General features: G+C 42.8%; 1 annotated feature.

The window, feature by feature from the left end:
- Positions 14,794-15,993: an enhancer, noted in NCBI's record as "MED14-independent group 3 enhancer chrY:22339850-22341049 (GRCh37/hg19 assembly coordinates)". NCBI's record gives its function as "activates an origin of replication core promoter dependent on BRD2, BRD4, P300/CBP and CDK7 cofactors, and independent of MED14, by STARR-seq in HCT116 cells {active_cell/tissue: HCT116}" and the evidence as "EXISTENCE:reporter gene assay evidence [ECO:0000049][PMID:35650434]".

Consider the following 18,836-nt stretch of genomic DNA (forward strand, 5'->3'; position numbering starts at 1 on the left):
CACTTAAAGCTGTTATGTCCAGAGTTTGTTCCTTCAGATGTGTCCAGAGTTTCTTCCTTCTCCAGGTTCATGGTCTTGCTCACTTCAAGAATGAAGCTGCAGACCTTAGTGGTGAGCGTTACAGCACTTAAAGGTGTTATGTCCAGAGTGTGTTCCTTCAGATAAGTCCAGAGTTTCTTCCTTCTGGCAGGCTCATGGTCTTGCTCACTTCAAGAATGAAGCTGCGGACCTTAGTGGTGAGCGTTACAGCACTTAAGTTTTTATGTCCAGAGTTTGTTCCTTCAGATGTGTCCAGAGTTTCTTCCTTGTGGCAGGTTCATGGTCTTGCTCACTTCAAGAATGAAGCTGCAGAATTTAGTGGTGAGCGTTACAGCACTTAAGTTTTTATGTCCAGAGTTTGTTCCTTCAGATAAGTCTAGAGATTCTTCCTTCTGGCAGGTCCATGGTCTTCCTCACTTCAAGAATGAAACTGCAGACCCTTACGGTGAATGTTACAGCACTTAAAATTGTTATGTCTAGAGTTTCTTCCTTCATATGTGTCCAGTTTCTTCCTTCTGGAAGGTTCATGGTCTTGCTCACTTCAAGAATGAAACTGTAGACCTTTACGGTGAGTGTTACAGCACTGAAAGATGTTATTTCCAGAGTTTGTTCCTTGAGATGTGTCCAGAGTTTCTTCCTTCTGGCAGGCTCATGGTCTTGCTCACTTCAAGAAAGAAGCTGCAGAACTTAGTGGTGAGTTTTGCAGCACTTAAAGGTTTTATGTCCAGAGTTTGTTCCTTCAGATGTGTCCAGAGTTTCTTCCTTCTGGCAGGTTCATGGTCTTGCTCACTTCAAGAATGAAGCTGCAGACCTTAGTGGTGAGTGTTACAACACTTAAAGGTGTTATTTACAGAGTTTGTTCCTTCAGATGTGTCCAGAGTTTCTTCCTTCTGGCAGGTTCATGGTCTTGCTCACTTCAAGAATGAAGATGGAGACCTTTACGGTGAGTGTTACAGCACATAAAGGTGTTATGTCCAGAGATTGTTCCTTCAGATGTGTCCAGAGTTTCTTCCTTCTGGCAGGTTCATGGTCTTGCTCACTTCAAGAATGAAGCTGCAGTCCTTTACGGTGAGTGTTACATCATTTAAAGGTGTTATATCCAGAGTTTTTTACATCAGATGTGTCTAGATTTCCTTCCTTCTGGGAGGTTCACGGACTTGCTCATTTCAAGAATGAAGCTGCAGACCTTAGTGGTGAGTTTTACAACACTTAAAGCTGTTATGTCCAGAGTTTGTTCCTTCAGGTGTGTCCAGAGTTTCTTCCTTCTCCAGGTTCATGGTCTTGCTCACTTCAAGAATGAAGCTGCAGACCTTAGTGGTGAGCGTTACAGCACTTAAGTTTTTATGTCCAGAGTTTGTTCCTTCAGATAAGTCCAGAGTTTCTTCCTTCTGGCAGGTTCATGGTCTTGCTCACTTCAAGAATGAAGCTGCGGACCTTAGTGGTGAGCGTTACAGCACTTAAGTTTTTATGTCCAGAGTTTGTTCCTTCAGATAAGTCCAGACTTTCTTCCTTCTGGCAGGTTCATGGTCTTGCTCACTTCAAGAATGAAGCTGCAGACCTTTACGGTGAGTGTTATAGCACTTAAAGGTGTTATGTCCAGAGTTTGTTCCTTCAGAAGTGTCCAGAGTTTCTTCCTTCTGACAAGTTCATGGTCTTGCTCACTTCAAGAATGAAGCTGCAGACCTTTACGGTGAGTGTTACAGCATTAATGGTGTTATGTACAGAGTTTGTTCCTTCAGATGTGTGCAGAGTTTCTTCCTTCTGGCAGGTTCATGGTATTGCTCACTTCAAGAATGAAGCTGCAGACCTTAGTGGTGAGTGTTACAGCACTTAAAGTTGTTATGTCCAGGGTTTGTTCCTTCAGATGTGTACAGAGTTTCTTCCCTCTGGCTGGTTCTTGGTCTTGCTCACTTCAAGAATGAAGCTGCAGACCTTTACGGTGAGTGTTACAGCATTTAATGGAGTTATGTCCAGAGTTTCTTACATCAGATGTGTCTAGAACTCCTTCCTTCTGGGAGGTTCATGGACTTGCTCATTTCAAGAATGAAGCTGAAGACCTTAGTGGTGAGTTTTACAGCACTTAAAGGTGTTAGGTCCAGAGTTTGTTCCTTCAGATGTGTCCAGAGTTTCTTCCTTCTGGCAGGTTCATCGTGTTGCTCACTTCAAGAATGAAGCTGCAGACCTTAGTGGTGAGCGTTACAGCACTTAAGTTTTTATGTCCAGGGTTTGTTCCTTCAGATAAGTCCAGAGTTTCTTCCTTCTTGCAGGTTCATGGTCTTGCTCACTTCAAGAATGAAGCTGCAGAACTTAGTGGTGAGTTTTACAGCACATAAAGGTGTTATGTCCAGAGTTTGTTCCTTCAGATGTGTCCAGAGTTTCTTCCTTCTGGCAGGTTCATGGTCTTGCTCACTTCAAGAATGACGCGGCAGACCTTTACGGTGAGTGTTACAGCATTTAATAGTGTTATGTCCAGAGGTTGTTCCTTCAGATGTGTCCACTTTCTTCCTTCTGGCAGGTTCATGGTCTTGCTCACTTCAAGAATGAAACTGTAGACCTTTACGGTGAGTGTTACAGCAATGAATGATGCTATGTCCAGAGTTTGTTCCTTCAGATGTGTCCAGAGTTTCTTCCTTCTGGCAGGTTCATGGTCTTGCTCACTTCAAGAATGAAGCTGCAGTCCTTTACGGTGAGTGTTACAGCATTTAAAGGTGTTATGTCCAGAGTTTGTTCCTTCAGATGTGTCCAGAGTTTCCTCCTTCTGGCAGGTTCATGGTCTTGCTCACTTCAAGAATGAAGCTGCAGACCTTAGTGGTGAGTGTTACAGCACTTAAATTTGTTATGTCCAGAGTTTGTTCCTTCAGATGTGTCCAGAGTTTCTTCCCTCTGGCTGGTTGTTGGTCTTCCTCACTTCAAGAATGAAGCTGCATACCTTTACGGTGAGTGTTACAGCATTTAATGGAGTTATGTCCAGAGTTTCTTACATCAGATGTGTCTAGAGCTCCTTCCTTCTGGGAGGTTCATGGACTTGCTCATTTCAAGAATGAAGCTGAAGTCCTTAGTGGTGAGTATTACAACACTTAAAGGTGTTAGGTCCAGAGTTTGTTCCTTCAGATGTGTCCAGAGTTTCTTCCTTCTGGCAGGTTCATGGTCTTGCTCACTTCAAGAATGAAGCTGCAGACCTTAGTGCTGAGCGTTACAGCACTTAAGTTTTTATGTCCAGAGTTTGTTCCTTCAGATAAGTCCAGAGATTCTTCCTTCTGGCAGGTCCATGGTCTTGCTCACTTCAAGAATGAAACTGCAGACCCTTACGGTGAGTGTTACAGCATATAAAATTGTTATGTCTAGAGTTTGTTCTTTCATATGTGTCCAGTTTCTTCCTTCTGGAAGGTTCATGGTCTTGCTCACTTCAAGAATGAAACTGTAGACCTTTACGGTGAGTGTTACAGCACTGAAAGATGTTATTTCCAGAGTTTGTTCCTTCAGATGTGTCCAGAGTTTCTTCCTTCTGTCAGGTTCATGGTCTTGCTCACTTCAAGAATGAAGCTGCAGAACTTAGTGGTGAGTTTTACAGCACTTAAAGGTGTTATATCCAGAGTTTGTTCCTTCAGATGTGTCCAGAGTTTCTTCCTTCTGGCAGGTTCATGGTCTTGCTCACTTCAAGAATGAAGCTGCAGACCTTAGTGGTGAGTGTTACAACAATTAAAGATGTTATTTACAGAGTTTGTTCCTTCAGATGTGTCCAGAGTTTCTTCCTTCTGGCAGGTTCATGGTCTTGCTCACTTCAAGAATGAAGATGCAGACCTTTACGGTGAGTGTTACAGCACATAAAGGTGTTATGTCCAGAGTTTGTTCCTTCAGATGTGTCCAGAGTTTCTTCCTTCTGGCAGGTTCATGGTCTTGCTCACTTCAAGAATGAAGCTGCAGTCCTTTACGGTGAGTGTTACATCATTTAAAGGTGTTATGTCCAGAGTTATTTACATCAGATGTGTCTAATTTTCCTTCCTTCTGGGAGGTTCATGGACTTGCTCATTTCAAGAATGAAGCTGCAGACCTTAGTGGTGAGTTTTACAGCACTTAAAGCTGTTATGTCCAGAGTTTGTTCCTTCAGATGTGTCCAGAGTTTCTTCCTTCTCCAGGTTCATGGTCTTGCTCACTTCAAGAATGAAGCTGCAGACCTTAGTGGTGAGCGTTACAGCACTTAGGTTTTTATGTCCAGAGTTTGTTCCTTCAGATAAGTCCAGAGTTTCTTCCTTCTGGCAGGTTCATGGTCTTGCTCACTTCAAGAATGAAGCTGCGGACCTTAGTGGTGAGCGTTACAGCACTTAAGTTTTTATGTCCAGAGTTTGTTCCTTCAGATAAGTCCAGAGTTTCTTCCTTGTGGCAGGTTCATGGTCTTGCTCACTTCAAGAATGAAGCTGCAGACCTTAGTGGTGAGCGTTACAGCACTTAAGTTTTTATGTCCAGAGTTTGTTCCTTCAGATAAGTCCAGAGATTCTTCCTTCCGGCAGGTCCATGGTCTTGCTCACTTCAAGAATGAAACTGCAGACCCTTACGGTGAGTGTTACAGCACTTAAAGGTATTATGTCCAGAGTTTGTTCCTTCAGATGTGTCCAGAGTTTCTTTCTTCTGGCAGGTTCATGGTTTTGCTCACTTCAATAATGAATCTCCAGTCCTTTACGGTGAGTGTTACAGCACTTAATGGTGTTATGTCCAGAGTTTATTCCTTCAGATGTGTCCAGAGTTTCTTCCTTCTGGCAGGTTCATGGTCTTGCTCACTTCAAGAATGAAGCTGCAGACCTTAGTGGAGAGTGTTACAGCACTTAAAGGTGTTATGTAAAGAGTTTGTTCCTTCAGATGTGTCCAAAGTTTCTTCAATCTGGCAGGTTCATGGTCTTTCTCACTTCAAGAAAGAATGAAGCTGCAGAATTTAGTGGTGAGTGTTACAGCACTTAAAGGTGTTATTTGCAGAGTTTTGTCCTTCAGATTTGTCCAGATATTCTTCCTTCTGGCAGGTTCATGGTCTTGCTCACTTCAAGAAAGAATGAAGCTGCAGACCTTTACGGTGAGTGTTACAGCATATAAAGGCGTTATGTCCAGAGTTTGTTCTTTCAGATTTGTCCAGAATTTCTTCCTTCTGGAAGGTTCATGGTCTTGCTCACTTCAAGAATGAAACTGCAGACCTTGGTGGTGAGTGTTACAGCACTTAAATATGTTATGTCCAGATTTTGATCCATGTGATGTGCATAGAGTTTCTTCCTTCTGGCAGGTTCATGGTCTTGCTCACTTGAAGAATGAAGCTGCAGACCTTAGTGGTGAGTGTTACAGCACTTAAAGGTGTTATGTCCAGAGTTTGTTCCGTGTGATGTGTGCAGAGTTTCTTCCTTCTGGCAGGTTCATGGTCTTGCTCACTTCAAGAATGATGCTGCAGACCTTTACGGTGAGTGTTACAGCACTTAAAGGTGTTATATCCAGAGTTTGTTCCTTGATATGTGTCCAGAGTTTCCTTCTTTTGGCAGTTTCATGGTCTTGCTCACTTCAAGAATGAAGCTCCAGACCTTTACGGTGAGTTTTACAGCACTTAAAGGTGTTATGTCCAGAGATTGTTCCTTCAGTTGTGTCCAGAGTTTCTTTCTTCTGGCAGTATCATGGTCTTGCTCACTTCAAGAATGAAACTGCAGACCTTTACGGTGAGTGTTACAACACTTAAAGGAATTATGTCCAGAGTTTTTTCCGTCAGATGTGTACAGAGTTACTTCCTTCTGGCACGTTCATGGTCTTGCTAGCTTCAAGAATGAACCTCCAGTCTTTACGGTGAGTGTTACAGCACTTAAAGGTGTTATGTCCAGAGTTTGTTCCTTCAGATGTGTCCAGAGTTTCTTCCTTCTGGCAGGTTCATGATTTGCTCAATTCAAGAATGAAACTGCAGACCCTTACGGTGAGTGTTACACCACTTAAAGGTGTTATGTCCAGAGTTTGTTCTTACAGATGTATCCACAGTTTCTTCCTTCTGGCAGGTTCATGGTCTTGCTCACTTCAAGTAAGAAGCTGCAGACCTTAGTGGTGAGTGTTACAACACTTAAAGGTGTTATGTCCAGAGTTTGTTCCTTGTGATGTGTGCAGAGTTTCTTCCTTCTGGCAAGTTCATTGTCTTGCTCACTTCAAGAATGAAGCTGTAGACCTTGGTGGTGAGTGTTACAGCACTTACAGGTGTTATGTCCCGAGTTTGTTCCATCAGATGTGTCCAGAGTTTCTTCCTTTTGGCAGGTTCATGGTCTTGCTCACTTCAAGAATGAAGCTGCAGACCTTAGTGGTGAGTGTTACAGCACTTAAAGGTGTTATGTAGAGAGTTTGTTCCTCGTGATGTGTGGAGAGTTTCTTCCTTCTGGCAGGTTCATGGTCTTGCTCACATCAAGAATGATGCTGCAGACCTTTACGGTGAAAGTTACAGTACTTAAAGGTGTTATATCCACAGTTTGTTCCTTCAGATGTGTCCAGAGTTTCTTTCTTCTGGCAGTTTCATGGTCTTGCTCACTTCAAGAATGAAGCTCCAGACCTTTACGGTGAGTTTTACAGCACTTAAAGGTGTTATGTCCAGAGTTTGTTCCTTCAGTTGTGTCCAGAGTTTCTTCCTTCTGGCAGGTTCATTGTCTTGCTCAGTTCAAGAATGAAACTGCAGACCTTTACGGTGAGTGTTACAGCACTTAAAGGCATTATGTCCAGAGTTTTTTCCTTCAGATGTGTACAGAGTTTCTTCCTTCTGGCAGGTTCATGGTCTTGCTCACTTGAAGAATGAAACTGCAGACCCTTACGGTGAGTGTTACATCACTTAAAGTTGTTATGTCCAGAGTTTGTTCTTTCAGATGTGTCCACAGTTTATTCCTTCTGGCAGGTTCATGGTCTTGCTCACTTCAAGAATGAAACTGCAGACCTTTACGGTGAGTGTTACAGCACTAAAAGGTATTATGTCCAGAGATTTTTCCTTCAGATGTGTACAGAGTTTCTTCCTTCTGGCAGGTTCATGGTCTTGCTAGCTTCAAGAATGAACCTCCAGTCCTTTATGGTGAGTGTTACATCACTTAAAGGTGTTATGTCCAGAGTTTGTTCTTTCAGAAGTGTCCACAGTTTCTTCCTTCTGGCAGATTCATGGTCTTTCTCACTTCAAGTATGAAGCTGCAGACCTTTGTGGTGAGTGTTACAGCACTTACAGGTGTTATGTCCCGAGGTTGTTCCATCAGATGTGTCCAGAGTTTATTCCTTTTGGCAGGTTCATGGTCTTGCTCTCTTCAAGGATGAATCTGCAGACCTTAGTGGTGAGAGTTACAGCAATTAAAGGTGTTATGTCCAGAGTATGTTCCTTCAGATGTGTCCAAAGTTTCTTCAATCTGGCAGGTTCATGGTCTTGCTCACTTCAAGAGTGAAGCTGCAGAATTTAGTGGTGAGTGTTACAGCACTAAAAGGTGTTATGTCCAGAGTTTGTTACATCAGATGTGTCCAGATATTCTTCCTTCTGTCATGTTCATGGTCTTGCTCACTTCAAGAAAGAATGAAGCTGCAGACATTTACAGTGAGTGTTACAGCACTTAAAGGTGTTATGTCCAGAGTTTGGTCACTCAGATAAGTCCAGAATTTTTTCCTTCGGGCTGGTTCATGGTCTTGCTCACTTCAAGAATGAAGCTGCAGACCTTGGTGGTGAGTGTTACAGCATTTACAGGTGTTACGTCCAGAGTTTGTTCCTTTAGATGTGTCCAGAGTTTCTTACTTCTGGCAGGTTCATGGTCTTGCTCACTTCAAGGATGAAGCTGCAGACCTTAGTGGTGAGAGTTACAGCAATTAAAGGTGTTATGTCCAGAGTATGTTCCTTCAGATGTGTCCAAAGTTTCTTCAATCTGGCAGGTTCATGGTCTTGCTCACTTCAAGAGTGAAGCTGCAGAATTTAGTGGTGAGTGTTACAGCACTAAAAGGTGTTATGTCCAGAGTTTGTTACATCAGATGTGTCCAGATATTCTTCCTTCTGTCATGTTCATGGTCTTGCTCACTTCAAGAAAGAATGAAGCTGCAGACATTTACAGTGAGTGTTACAGCATATAAAGGTGTTATGTCCAGAGTTTGGTCACTCAGATGTGTCCAGAATTTTTTCCTTCGGGCTGGTTCATGGTCTTGCTCACTTCAAGAATGAAGCTGCAGACCTTGGTGGTGAGTGTTACAGCACTTAAATTTGTTATGTCCAGAGTTTGTTCCATCTGATGTGTATAGTGTTACTTCCTTCTGGCAGGTTCATGGTCTTCCTCACTTCAAGAATGAAGCTGCCGGCCTTAGTGGTGAGTGTTACAGCACTTAAAGGTGTCATGTCCAGAGTTTGTTCCTTGTGATGTGTCCAGAGTTTCTTCCTTCTGGCAGGTTCATGGTCTTGTTCTCTTCAGGAATGAAGCTGCAGACCTTAGCGGTGAGCGTTACAGCACTTAAAGGTTTTATGTCCAGAGTTGTTCCATCAGATGTGTCTAGAGTTTCTTCCTTCTGGCAGGTTCATGGTCTTGCTCTCTTCAAGGATGAAGCTGCAGACTTCAGTAGTGAGTGTTACAGCTCTTAAAGGTGTTATGTAAAGAGTTTGTTACTTCAGATGTGTCCAAAGTTTCTTCAATCTGGCAGGTTCATCGTCATGCTCACTTCAAGAGTGAAGCTGCAGAATTTAGTGGTGAGTGTTACAGCACTTAAAGTTGTTATGTCTAGAGTTTGTTACTTCAGATGTGTCCAGATATTCTTCCTTCTAGCAAGTTCATGGTCTTGCTCAGTTCAAGAAAGAATGAAGCTGCAGACCTTAGTGGTGAGTGTTACAGCACTTAAAGGTCTTATATCCAGAGTTTGTTCCTTGTGATGTGTCCAGAGTTTCTTCCTTCTGGCAGGTTCATGGTCTTGCTCACTTCAAGAATGAAGCTGCAGACCTTTACGGTGAGTGTTACAGCACTTAATGTTGTCATGTCCAGAGTTTGTTCCTTCAGATGTGTCCAGAGTTTCTTCATTCTAGCACGTTCATTGTCTTGTTCTCTTTAAGAATGAAGCTGCAGACCTTAGCGGTGAGCGTTACAGCACTTAAAGGTTTTATATCCAGAGTTTGTTCCATCAGATGTGTCTAGAGTTTCTTCCTTCTGGCAGGTTCATGGTCTTGCTCACTTCAAGGATGCTGCTGCAGACCTTAGTGGTGAGTGTTACAGCACTTAAAGGTGTTATGTCCAGAGTTTGTTCCTTGTGAAGTGTGCAGAGTTTCTTCCATCTGGCAGGTTCATGGTCTTGCTCACTTCAAGAATGATGCTGCAGAAATTTACGGTGAATGTTACAGTACTTAAAGGTGTTATATCCAGAGTTTGTTCCTTCAGATGTGTCCAGATTTTCTTTCTTCTTGCAGGTTCATGGTCTTGCTCACTTCAAGAATGAAGCTCCAGACCTTTACGGTGAGTTTTACAGCACTTAAAGGTGTTATGTCCAGAGTTTGTTCCTTCAGTTGTGTCCAGAGTTTCTTCCTTCTGGCAGGTTCATGGTCTTGCTCACTTCAAGAATGAAACTGCAGACCTTTACGGTGAGGGTTACAGCACTTAAAGGTATTATGTCCAGAGTTTTTTCCTTCAGATGTGTACAGAGTTTCTTCCTTCTGGCAGGTTCATGGTCTTGCTAGCTTCAAGAATGAACCTCCAGTCCTTTACGGTGAGTGTTACAGCACTTAAAGGTGTTATGTCCAGAGTTTTTTCCTTCAGATGTGTCCAGAGTTTCTTCCTTCTGGCCGGTTCATGGTCTTGCTCACTTCCAGAATGAAACTGCAGACCCTTACGGTGAGTGTTACAGGACCTAAAGGTGTTATGTCCATAGTTTGTTCTTTCAGATGTGTCCACAGTTTCTTCCTTCTGGCAGGTTCATGGTCTTGCTCACTTCAAGAATGAAGCTGCAGACCTTGGTGATGAGTGTTACAGCACTTTCAAGTGTTATGTCCCGAGTTTGTTCCATCAGATGTGTCCAGAGTTTCTTCCTTTTGGCAGGTTCATGGTCTTGCTCACTTCAAGAATGAAGCTGCAGACCTCAGTGGTGAGTGTTACAGCACTTAAAGGTGTTATGTAAAGAGTTTGTTCCTTCAGATGTGTCCAAAATTTCTTCAATCTGGCGGGTTCATGGTCTTGCTCACTTCAAGAGTGAAGCTGCAGAATTTACTGGTGAGTGTTACAGCACTAAAAGGTGTCATGTCCAGAGTTTTTTACTTCAGTTGTGTCCAGATATTCTTCCTTCTGGCAGGTTCATGGTCTTGCTCACTTCAAGAAAGAATGAAGCTGCAGACCTTTACGGTGAGTGTTACAGCACTTAAAGGTGTTATGTAAAGAGTTTGTTCCTTCAGATGTGTCCAAAGTTTCTTCAATCTGGCAGGTTCATGGTCTTGCTCACTTCAAGAATGAAGCTGCAGACCTCAGTGGTGAGAGTTACAGCACTTAAAGGTGTTATGTAAAGAGTTTGTTCCTTCAGATGTGTCCAAATTTTCTTCAATCTGGCAGGTTCATGGTCTTGCTCACTTCAAGAGTGAAGCTGCAGAATTTAGTGGTGAGTGTTACAGCACTTAAAGTTGTTATGTCTAGAGTTTGTTACTTCAGATGTGTCCAGATAGTCTTCCTTCTGGCAGGTTCATGGTCTTGCTCACTTCAAGAAAGAATGAAGCTGCAGACCTTACCGGTGAGTGTCACAGCATATAAAGGTGTTATGTCCAGAGTTTGGTCCTTCAGATGTGTCCAGAATTTTTTCCTTCGTACTGGTTCATGGTCTTGCTCACTTCAAGAATGAAGCTGCAGTCCTTGGTGGTGAGTATTAGAGCCCTTAAATGTGTAATGTCGAGAGTTTGTTCCATCTGATGTGTATAGTGTTTCTTCCTTCTTTCAGGTTCATGGTCTTGCTCACTTCAAGAATGAAGCTGCAGACCTTAGTGGTGAGTGTTACAGCACTTAAAGGTGTTATGTCCAGAGTTTGTTCCTTGTTATGTGTCCAGAGTTTCTTCCTTCTGGCAGGTTCATGGTCTTGCTCACTTCAAGAATGAAGCTGCAGACCTTTACGGTGAGTGTTACAGCACTTAACGTTGTCATGTCCAGAGTTTGTTCCTTCAGATATGTCCAGAGTTTCTTCATTCTGGCAGGTTCATGGTCTTGTTCTCTTCAAGAATGAAGCTGCAGACCTTAGCGGTGAGCGTTACAACACTTAAAGGTTTTATGTCCAGAGTTTGTTCCATCAGATGTGTCTAGAGTTTCTTCCTTCTGGCAGGTTCATGGTCTTGCTCACTTCAAGGATGAAGCTGCAGACCTTAGTGGTGAGTGTTACAGCACTTAAAGGTGTTATGTCCAGAGTTTCTTCCTTTTGATGTGTGCAGAGTTTCTTCCTTCTGGCAGGTTCATTTCTTGCTCACTTCAAAAATGATGCTGCAGACCTTTACGGTGAATGTTACAGTACTTAAAGGTGTTATATCCAGAGTTTGTTCCTTCTGATGTGTCCAGATTTTCCGTCTTCTTGCAGTTTCATGGTCTTGCTCACTTCAAGAATGAAGCTCCAGACCTTTACGGTGAGTTTTACAGCACTTAAAGGTGTTATGTCCAGAGTTTGTTCCTTCAGATGTGTCTAGAGTTTCTTCCTTCTGGCAGGTTCATGGTCTTGCTCACTTCAAGAATGATGCTGCAGACATTTACGGTGAAAGTTACAGTACTTAAAGTTGTTATATCCAGTGTTTGTTCCTTCAGATGTGTCCAGAGTTTCTTCCTTCTGGCAGGTTCATTGTCTTGCTCACTTCAAGAATGAAATTGCAGACCTTAGTGGTGAGAGTTACAGCACTTAAAGGTGTTATGTCCAGAGTATGTTCCTTCAGATGTGTCCAAAGTTTCTTCAATCTGACAGGTTCATGGTCTTGCTCACTTCAAGAGTGAAGCTGCAGAATTTAGTGGTGAGTGTTACAGCACTAAAAGGTGTTATGTCCAGAGTTTGTTCCTTGTGATGTGTCCAGAGTTTCTTCCTTCTGGCAGGTTCGTGGTCTTGTTCACTTCAAGAATTAAGATGCAAACCTTTACGGTGAGTGTTACAGCACTTAATGTTGTCATGTCCAGAGTTTGTTCCTTCAGATGTGTCCAGGGTTTCTGTCTTCTGGCAGGTTCATGGTCTTGCTCACTTCAAGAATGAAGCTGCAGACCTTAGTGGTGAGTGTTACAGCAGTTAAGTTTTTATGTCCAGAGTTTGTTCCTTGTGATGTGTCCAGAGTTTCTTCCTTCTGGGAGGTTCGTGGTCTTCTTCTCTTCAGGAATGAAGCTGCAGACCTTTACGGTGAGCGTTACAGCACTTAAAAGTGTTATGTCCAGAGTTTGTTCCTTTAGATGTGTCCAGAGTTTCTTCCTTCTGGCAGGTTCATGGTCTTGCTCACTTCAAGAATGAAACTGCAGACCTTTACGGTGAGAGTTACAGCATTAAAGGTGTTATGTCCAGAGTTTGTTCTTTCAGATGTGTCCACAGTTTCTTCCTTCTGGCAGGTTCATGGTCTTGCTCAATTCAAGCATGAAGCTGCAGAACTTACTGGTGAGTGTTACAGCACTTACAGGTGTTATGTCCAGAGTTTGTTCCATCAGATATGTCCAGAGTTTCTTCCTTTTGACAGGTTCATGGTCTTGCTCACTTCAAGAATGAAGCTGCAGACCTCAGTGGTGAGTGTTACAGCACTTAAAGGTGTTATGTAAAGAGTTTGTTCCTTCAGATGTGTCCAAAGTTTCTTCAATCTGGCAGGTTCATGGTCTTGCTCACTTCAAGAGTGAAGCTGCAGAATTTAGTGGTGAGTGTTACAGCACTTAAAAGTGTTATGTCTAGAGTTTGTTACTTTAGATGTGTCCAGATATTCTTCCTTCTGTCAGGTTCATGGTCTTGCTCACTTCAAGAAAGAATGAAGCTGCAGACCTTTACGGTGAGTGTTACAGCATATAAAGGTGTTATGTCCAGAGTTTGGTCCTTCAGATATGTCCAGAATTTCTTCCTTCGGGCTGGTTCATGGTCTTCCTCACTTCAAGAATGAAGCTGCAGACCTTGGTGGTGAGTGTTATAGCACTTAAATATGTTATGTCCAGAGTTTGTTCCATCAGATGTGTCTAGAGTTTCTTCCTTCTGGCAGGTTCATGGTCTTGCTCACTTCAAGGATGAAGCTGCAGACCTTAGTGGTGTGTGTTACAGCACTTAAAGGTGTTATGTCCAGAGTTTCTTCCTTTTGATGTGTGCAGAGTTTCTTCCTTCTGGCAGGTTCATTTCTTGCTCACTTCAAAAATGATGCTGCAGACCTTTACGGTGAATGTTACAGTACTTAAAGGTCTTATATACAGAGTTTGTTCCTTCTGATGTGTCCAGGTTTTCTTTCTTCTTGCAGTTTCATGGTCTTGCTCACTTCAAGAATGAAGCTCCAGACCTTTACGGTGAGTTTTACAGCACTTAAAGCTGTTATGTCCAGAGTTTGTTCCTTCAGATGTGTCTAGAATTTCTTCCTTCTGGAAGTTTCATGGTCTTGCTCACTTCAAGAATGATGCTGCAGACATTTACGGTGAAAGTTACAGTACTTAAAGTTGTTATATCCAGTGTTTGTTCCTTCACATGTGTCCAGAGTTTCTTCCTTCTGGCAGGTTCATTGACTTGCTCACTTCAAGAATGAAATTGCAGACCTTTACGGTGAGTGTTACAGCACTTAAAGGTATTATGTCCAGAGTTTTTTCCTTCAGATGTGTACAGAGTTTCTTCCTTCTGGCAGGTTCATGGTCTTGCTAGCTTCAAGAATGAACCTCCAGTCCTTTATGGTGAGTGTTACAGCACTTAAAGGTGTTATGTCCAGAGTTTGTTCTTTCAGACGTGTCCAGAGTTTCTTCCTTCTGGCAGGTTCATGGTATTTCTCACTTCAAGTATGAAGCTGCAGACCTTGGTGGTGAGTGTTACAGCACTTACAGGTGTTATGTCCCGAGTTTGTTCCATCAGATGTGTCCAGAGTTTATTCCTTTTGGCAGGTTCATGGTCTTGCTCACTTCAAGGATGAATCTGCAGACCTTAGTGGTGAGAGTTACAGCACTTAAAGGTGTTATGTCCAGAGTATGTTCCTTCAGATGTGTCCAAAGTTTCTTCAATCTGGCAGGTTCATGGTCTTGCTCACTTCAAGAGTGAAGCTGCAGAATTTAGTGGTGAGTGTTACAGCACTAAAAGGTGTTATGTCCAGAGTTTCTTACTTCAGATGTGTCCAGATATTCTTCCTTCTGTCATGTTCATGGTCTTGCTCACTTCAAGAAAGAATGAAGCTGCAGACCTTTACGGTGAGTGTTACAGCATATAAAGGTGTTATGTCCAGAGTTTGGTCCTTCAGATGTGTCCAGAATTTTTTCCTTCGGGCTGGTTCATGGTCTTGCTCACTTCAAGAATGAAGCTGCAGACTTTGGTGGTGAGTGTTACAGCACTTAAATGTGTTATGTCCAGAGTTTGTTCCATCTGATGTGTATAGTGTTTCCTCCTTCTGGCAGGTTCATTGTCTTGCTCACTTCAAGAATGAAGCTGCAGACCTTAGTGGTGAGTGTTACAGCACTTAAAGGTGTTATGTCCAGAGTTTGTTCCTTGTGATGTGTGCAGAGTTTCTTCCATCTGGCAGGTTCATGGTCTTGCTCACTTCAAGAATGATGCTGCAGACCTTTACGGTGAATGTTACAGTACTTAAAGGTGTTATATCCAGAATTTGTTCCTTCAGATGTGTCCAGATTTTCTTTCTTCTTGCAGTTTCATGGTCTTGCTCACTTCAAGAATGAAGCTCCAGACCTTTACGGTGAGTTTTACAGCACTTAAATGTGTTATATCCAGAGTTTGTTCCTTCAGTTGTGTCCAGAGTTTCTTCCTTCTGGCAGGTTCATGGTCTTGCTCACTTCAAGAATGAAACTGCAGACCTTTACGGTGAGTGTTACAGCACTTAAAGGTATTATGTCCAGAGTTTTTTCCTTCAGATGTGTACAGAGTTTCTTCCTTCTGGCAGGTTCATGGTCTTGCTAGCTTCAGGAATGAACCTCCAGTCCTTTACGGTCAGTGTTACAGCACTTAAAGGTGTTATGTCCAGAGTTTTTTCCTTCAGATGTGTCCAGTGTTTCTTCCTTCTGGCAGTTTCATGGTCTTGCTCACTTCAAGAATGAAACTGCAGACCCTTACGGTGAGTGTTACAGCACTTAAAGGTGTTATGTCCAGAGTTTGATGTTTCAGATGTGTCCACAGTTTCTTCCTTCTGGCAGGTTCATGGTCTTGCTCACTTCAAGAATGAAGCTGCAGACCTTGGTGATGAGTTTTACAGCACTTAATGGTGTTATGTAATGAGTTTTTTCCTTCGGATGTGTCCAAAGTTTCTTCAATCTGGCAGGTTCAAGGTCTTGCTCACTTCAAGAGTGAAGGTGCAGAATTTAGTGGTGAGTGTTACAGCACTAAAAGGTGTTATGTCCGGAGATTGTTTCTTCAGATGTGTCCAGATATTCTTCCTTTTGGCAGGTTCATGGTCTTGCTCACTTCAAGAAAGAATGAAGCTGCAGACCTTTACGGTGAGTATTGCAGCACTTAAAGGTGTTAGGTAAAGAGTTTGTTCCTTCCGATGTGTCCAAAGTTTCTTCAATCTGGCAGTTTCATGGTCTTGCTCACTTCAAGAATGAAGCTGCAGACCTTTACAGTGAGTGTTACAGCACTTAATGTTGTCATGTCCAGAGTTTGTTCCTTCAGATGTGTCCAGAGTTTCTTCATTCTGGCAGGTTCATGGTCTTGTTCTCTTCAAGAATTTAGCTGCAGTCCTTAGTGGTGAGCGTTACAGCACTTAAAGGTTTTATGTCCAGAGTTTGTTCCATCAGATGTGTCTAGAGTTTCTTCCTTCTGGCAGGTTCATGGTCTTGCTCACTTCAAGAATGAAACTGCAGACCTTTACTGTGAGTGTTACAGCACTTAAAGGTATTTTGTCCAGAGTTTTTTCCTTCAGATGTGTCCAGAGTTTCTTCCTTCTGGCAGGTTCGTGGTCTTCTTCTCTTCAGGAATGAAGCTGCAGACCTTAGCGGTGAGTGTTACAGCACTTAAAGGTTTTATGTCCAGAGTTTGTTCCATCAGATGTGTCTAGAGTTTGTTCCTTCTGGCAGGTTCATGGTCTTGCTCACTTCAAGGATGAAGCTGCAGACCTTACCGGTGAGTGTTACAGCACTTAAAGGTGTTATGTCCAGAGTTTGTTCCTTCAGATGTGTCCAGGGTTTCTGTCTTCTGGCAGGTTCATGACTTCCTCACTTCAAGAATGAAGCTGCAGACCTTACTGGTGAGTGTTACAGCACTTAAAGGTGTTATGTCCAGAGTTTGTTTCTTCAGATGTGTCCAGAGTTTCTTCCTTCTGGCAGTTTCGTGGTCTTCCTCACTTCAAGAATGAAGCTGCAGACCTTACTGGTGAGTGTTACAGCACTTAAAGGCATTATGTCCAGAGTTTTTTCCTTCAGATGTGTACAGAGTTTCTTCCTTCTGGCAGGTTCATGGTCTTGCTCACTTGAAGAATGAAACTGCAGACCCTTACGGTGAGTGTTACATCACTTAAAGGTGTTATGTCCAGAGTTTGTTCTTTCAGATGTGTCCACAGTTTATTCCTTCTGGCAGGTTCATGGTCTTGCTCACTTCAAGAATGAAACTGCAGACCTTTACGGTGAGTGTTACAGCACTAAAAGGTATTATGTCCAGAGATTTTTCCTTCAGATGTGTACAGAGTTTCTTCCTTCTGGCAGGTTCATGGTCTTGCTAGCTTCAAGAATGAACCTCCAGTCCTTTATGGTGAGTGTTACATCACTTAAAGGTGTTATGTCCAGAGTTAGATCCTTCAGATGTGTCCAGATATTCTTCCTTTTGGCAGGTTCATGGTCTTTCTCACTTCAAGAAAGAATGAAGCTGCAGACCTTTACGGTGAGTATTGCAGCACTTAAAGGTGTTAGGTAAAGAGTTTGTTCCTTCATATGTGTCCAGAGTTTCTTCCTTCTGGCAGGTTCATGGTATTGCTAGCTTCAAGAATGAACCTCCAGTCCTTTACGGTGAGTGTTACAGCATTTAAAGGTGTTATGTCCAGAGTTTGTTCTTTCAGATTTGTCCACAGTTTCTTCCTTCTGGCAGGTTCATGGTCTTGCTCTCTTCAAGAATGAAGCTGCAGACCTTGGTGATGAGTGTTGCAGCACTTACAGGCGTTATGTCGCGAGTTTGTTCCATCAGATGTGTCCAGAGTTTCTTCCTTTTGGCAGGTTCATGGTCTTGCTCACTTCAAGAATGAAGCTGCAGACCTCAGTGGTGAGTGTTACAGCACTTAATGGTGTTATGTAAAGAGTTTGTTCCTTCAGGTGTGTCCAAAGTTTCTTCAGTCTGGCAGGTTCATGGTCTTCCTCACTTCAAGAAAGAATGAAGCTGCAGAATTTAGTGGTGAGTGTTAACAGCACTAAAAGTTGTTATGTCCAGAGTTTGTTCCTTCAGATGTGTCCAGAGTTTCTTCCTTCTGGCAGGTTCATTGTCTTGCTCACTTCAAGGATGAGGCTGCAGACCTTAGTGGTGAGTGTTACAGCACTTAAAGGTGTTATGTCCTGAGTTTGTTCCTTCAGATGTGTCAAGAGTTTCTTCCTTCTTGCAGGTTCGTGGTCTTGATCACTTCAAGAAAGAAGCTGCAGAACTTAGTGGTGAGTTTTACAGCACTTAAAGGTGTTATATCCAGAGTTTGTTCCTTCAGATGTGTCCAGAGTTTCTTCCTTCTGGCAGGTTCATGGTCTTGCTCACTTCAAGAATGAAGCTGCAGACCTTAGTGGTGAGTGTTACAACACTTAAAGATGTTATTTACAGAGTTTGTTCCTTCAGATGTGTCCAGAGTTTCTTCCTTCTGGCAGGTTCATGGTCTTGCTCACTTCAAGAATGAAGATGCAGACCTTTACGGTGAGTGTTACAGCACATAAAGGTGTTATGTCCAGAGTTTGTTCCTTCAGATGTGTCCAGGGTTTCTGTCTTCTGGCAGGTTCATGGTCTTGCTCACTTCAAGAATGAAGCTGCAGTCCTTTACGGTGAGTGTTACATCATTTAAAGGTGTTATGTCCAGAGTTTTTTACATCAGATGTGTCTAGATTTCCTTCCTTCTGGGAGGTTCATGGACTTGCTCATTTCAAGAATGAAGCTGCAGACCTTAGTGGTGAGATTTACAGCACTTAAAGCTGTTATGTCCAGAGTTTGTTCCTTCAGATGTGTCCAGAGTTTCTTCCTTCTCCAGGTTCATGGTCTTGCTCACTTCACGAATGAAGCTGCAGACCTTAGTGGTGAGCGTTACAGCAGTTAAGTTTTTATGTCCAGAGTTTGTTCCTTCAGATAAGTCCAGAGTTTCTTCCTTCTGGCGGGTTCATGGTCTTGCTCACTTCAAGAATGAAGCTGCGGACCTTAGTGGTGAGCGTTACAGCACTTAAGTTTTTATGTCCAGAGTTTTTTCCTTCAGATATGTCCAGCGTTTCTTCCTTCTGGCAGGTTCATGGTCTTGCTCATTTCAAGAATGAAGCTGCAGACTTTTACGGTGAGTGTTACAGCACTTAAAGGTGTTTTGTCCAGAGTTTGTTGCTTCAGATGTGTCCAGAGTTTCTTTCTTCTGGCAGGTTCATGGTGTTGCTCACTTCAAGAATGAAGCTGCAGACCTTACTGGTGAGTGTTACAGCACTTAAAGCTGTTATGTCCAGAGTTTGTTCCTTCATATGTTTCCAGAGTTTCTTCCTTCTGGCAGG

The sequence above is a fragment of the Homo sapiens genome, chromosome Y (assembly GCF_000001405.40).
Source record: "Homo sapiens chromosome Y, GRCh38.p14 Primary Assembly".
Taxonomy (NCBI): domain Eukaryota; kingdom Metazoa; phylum Chordata; class Mammalia; order Primates; family Hominidae; genus Homo; species Homo sapiens.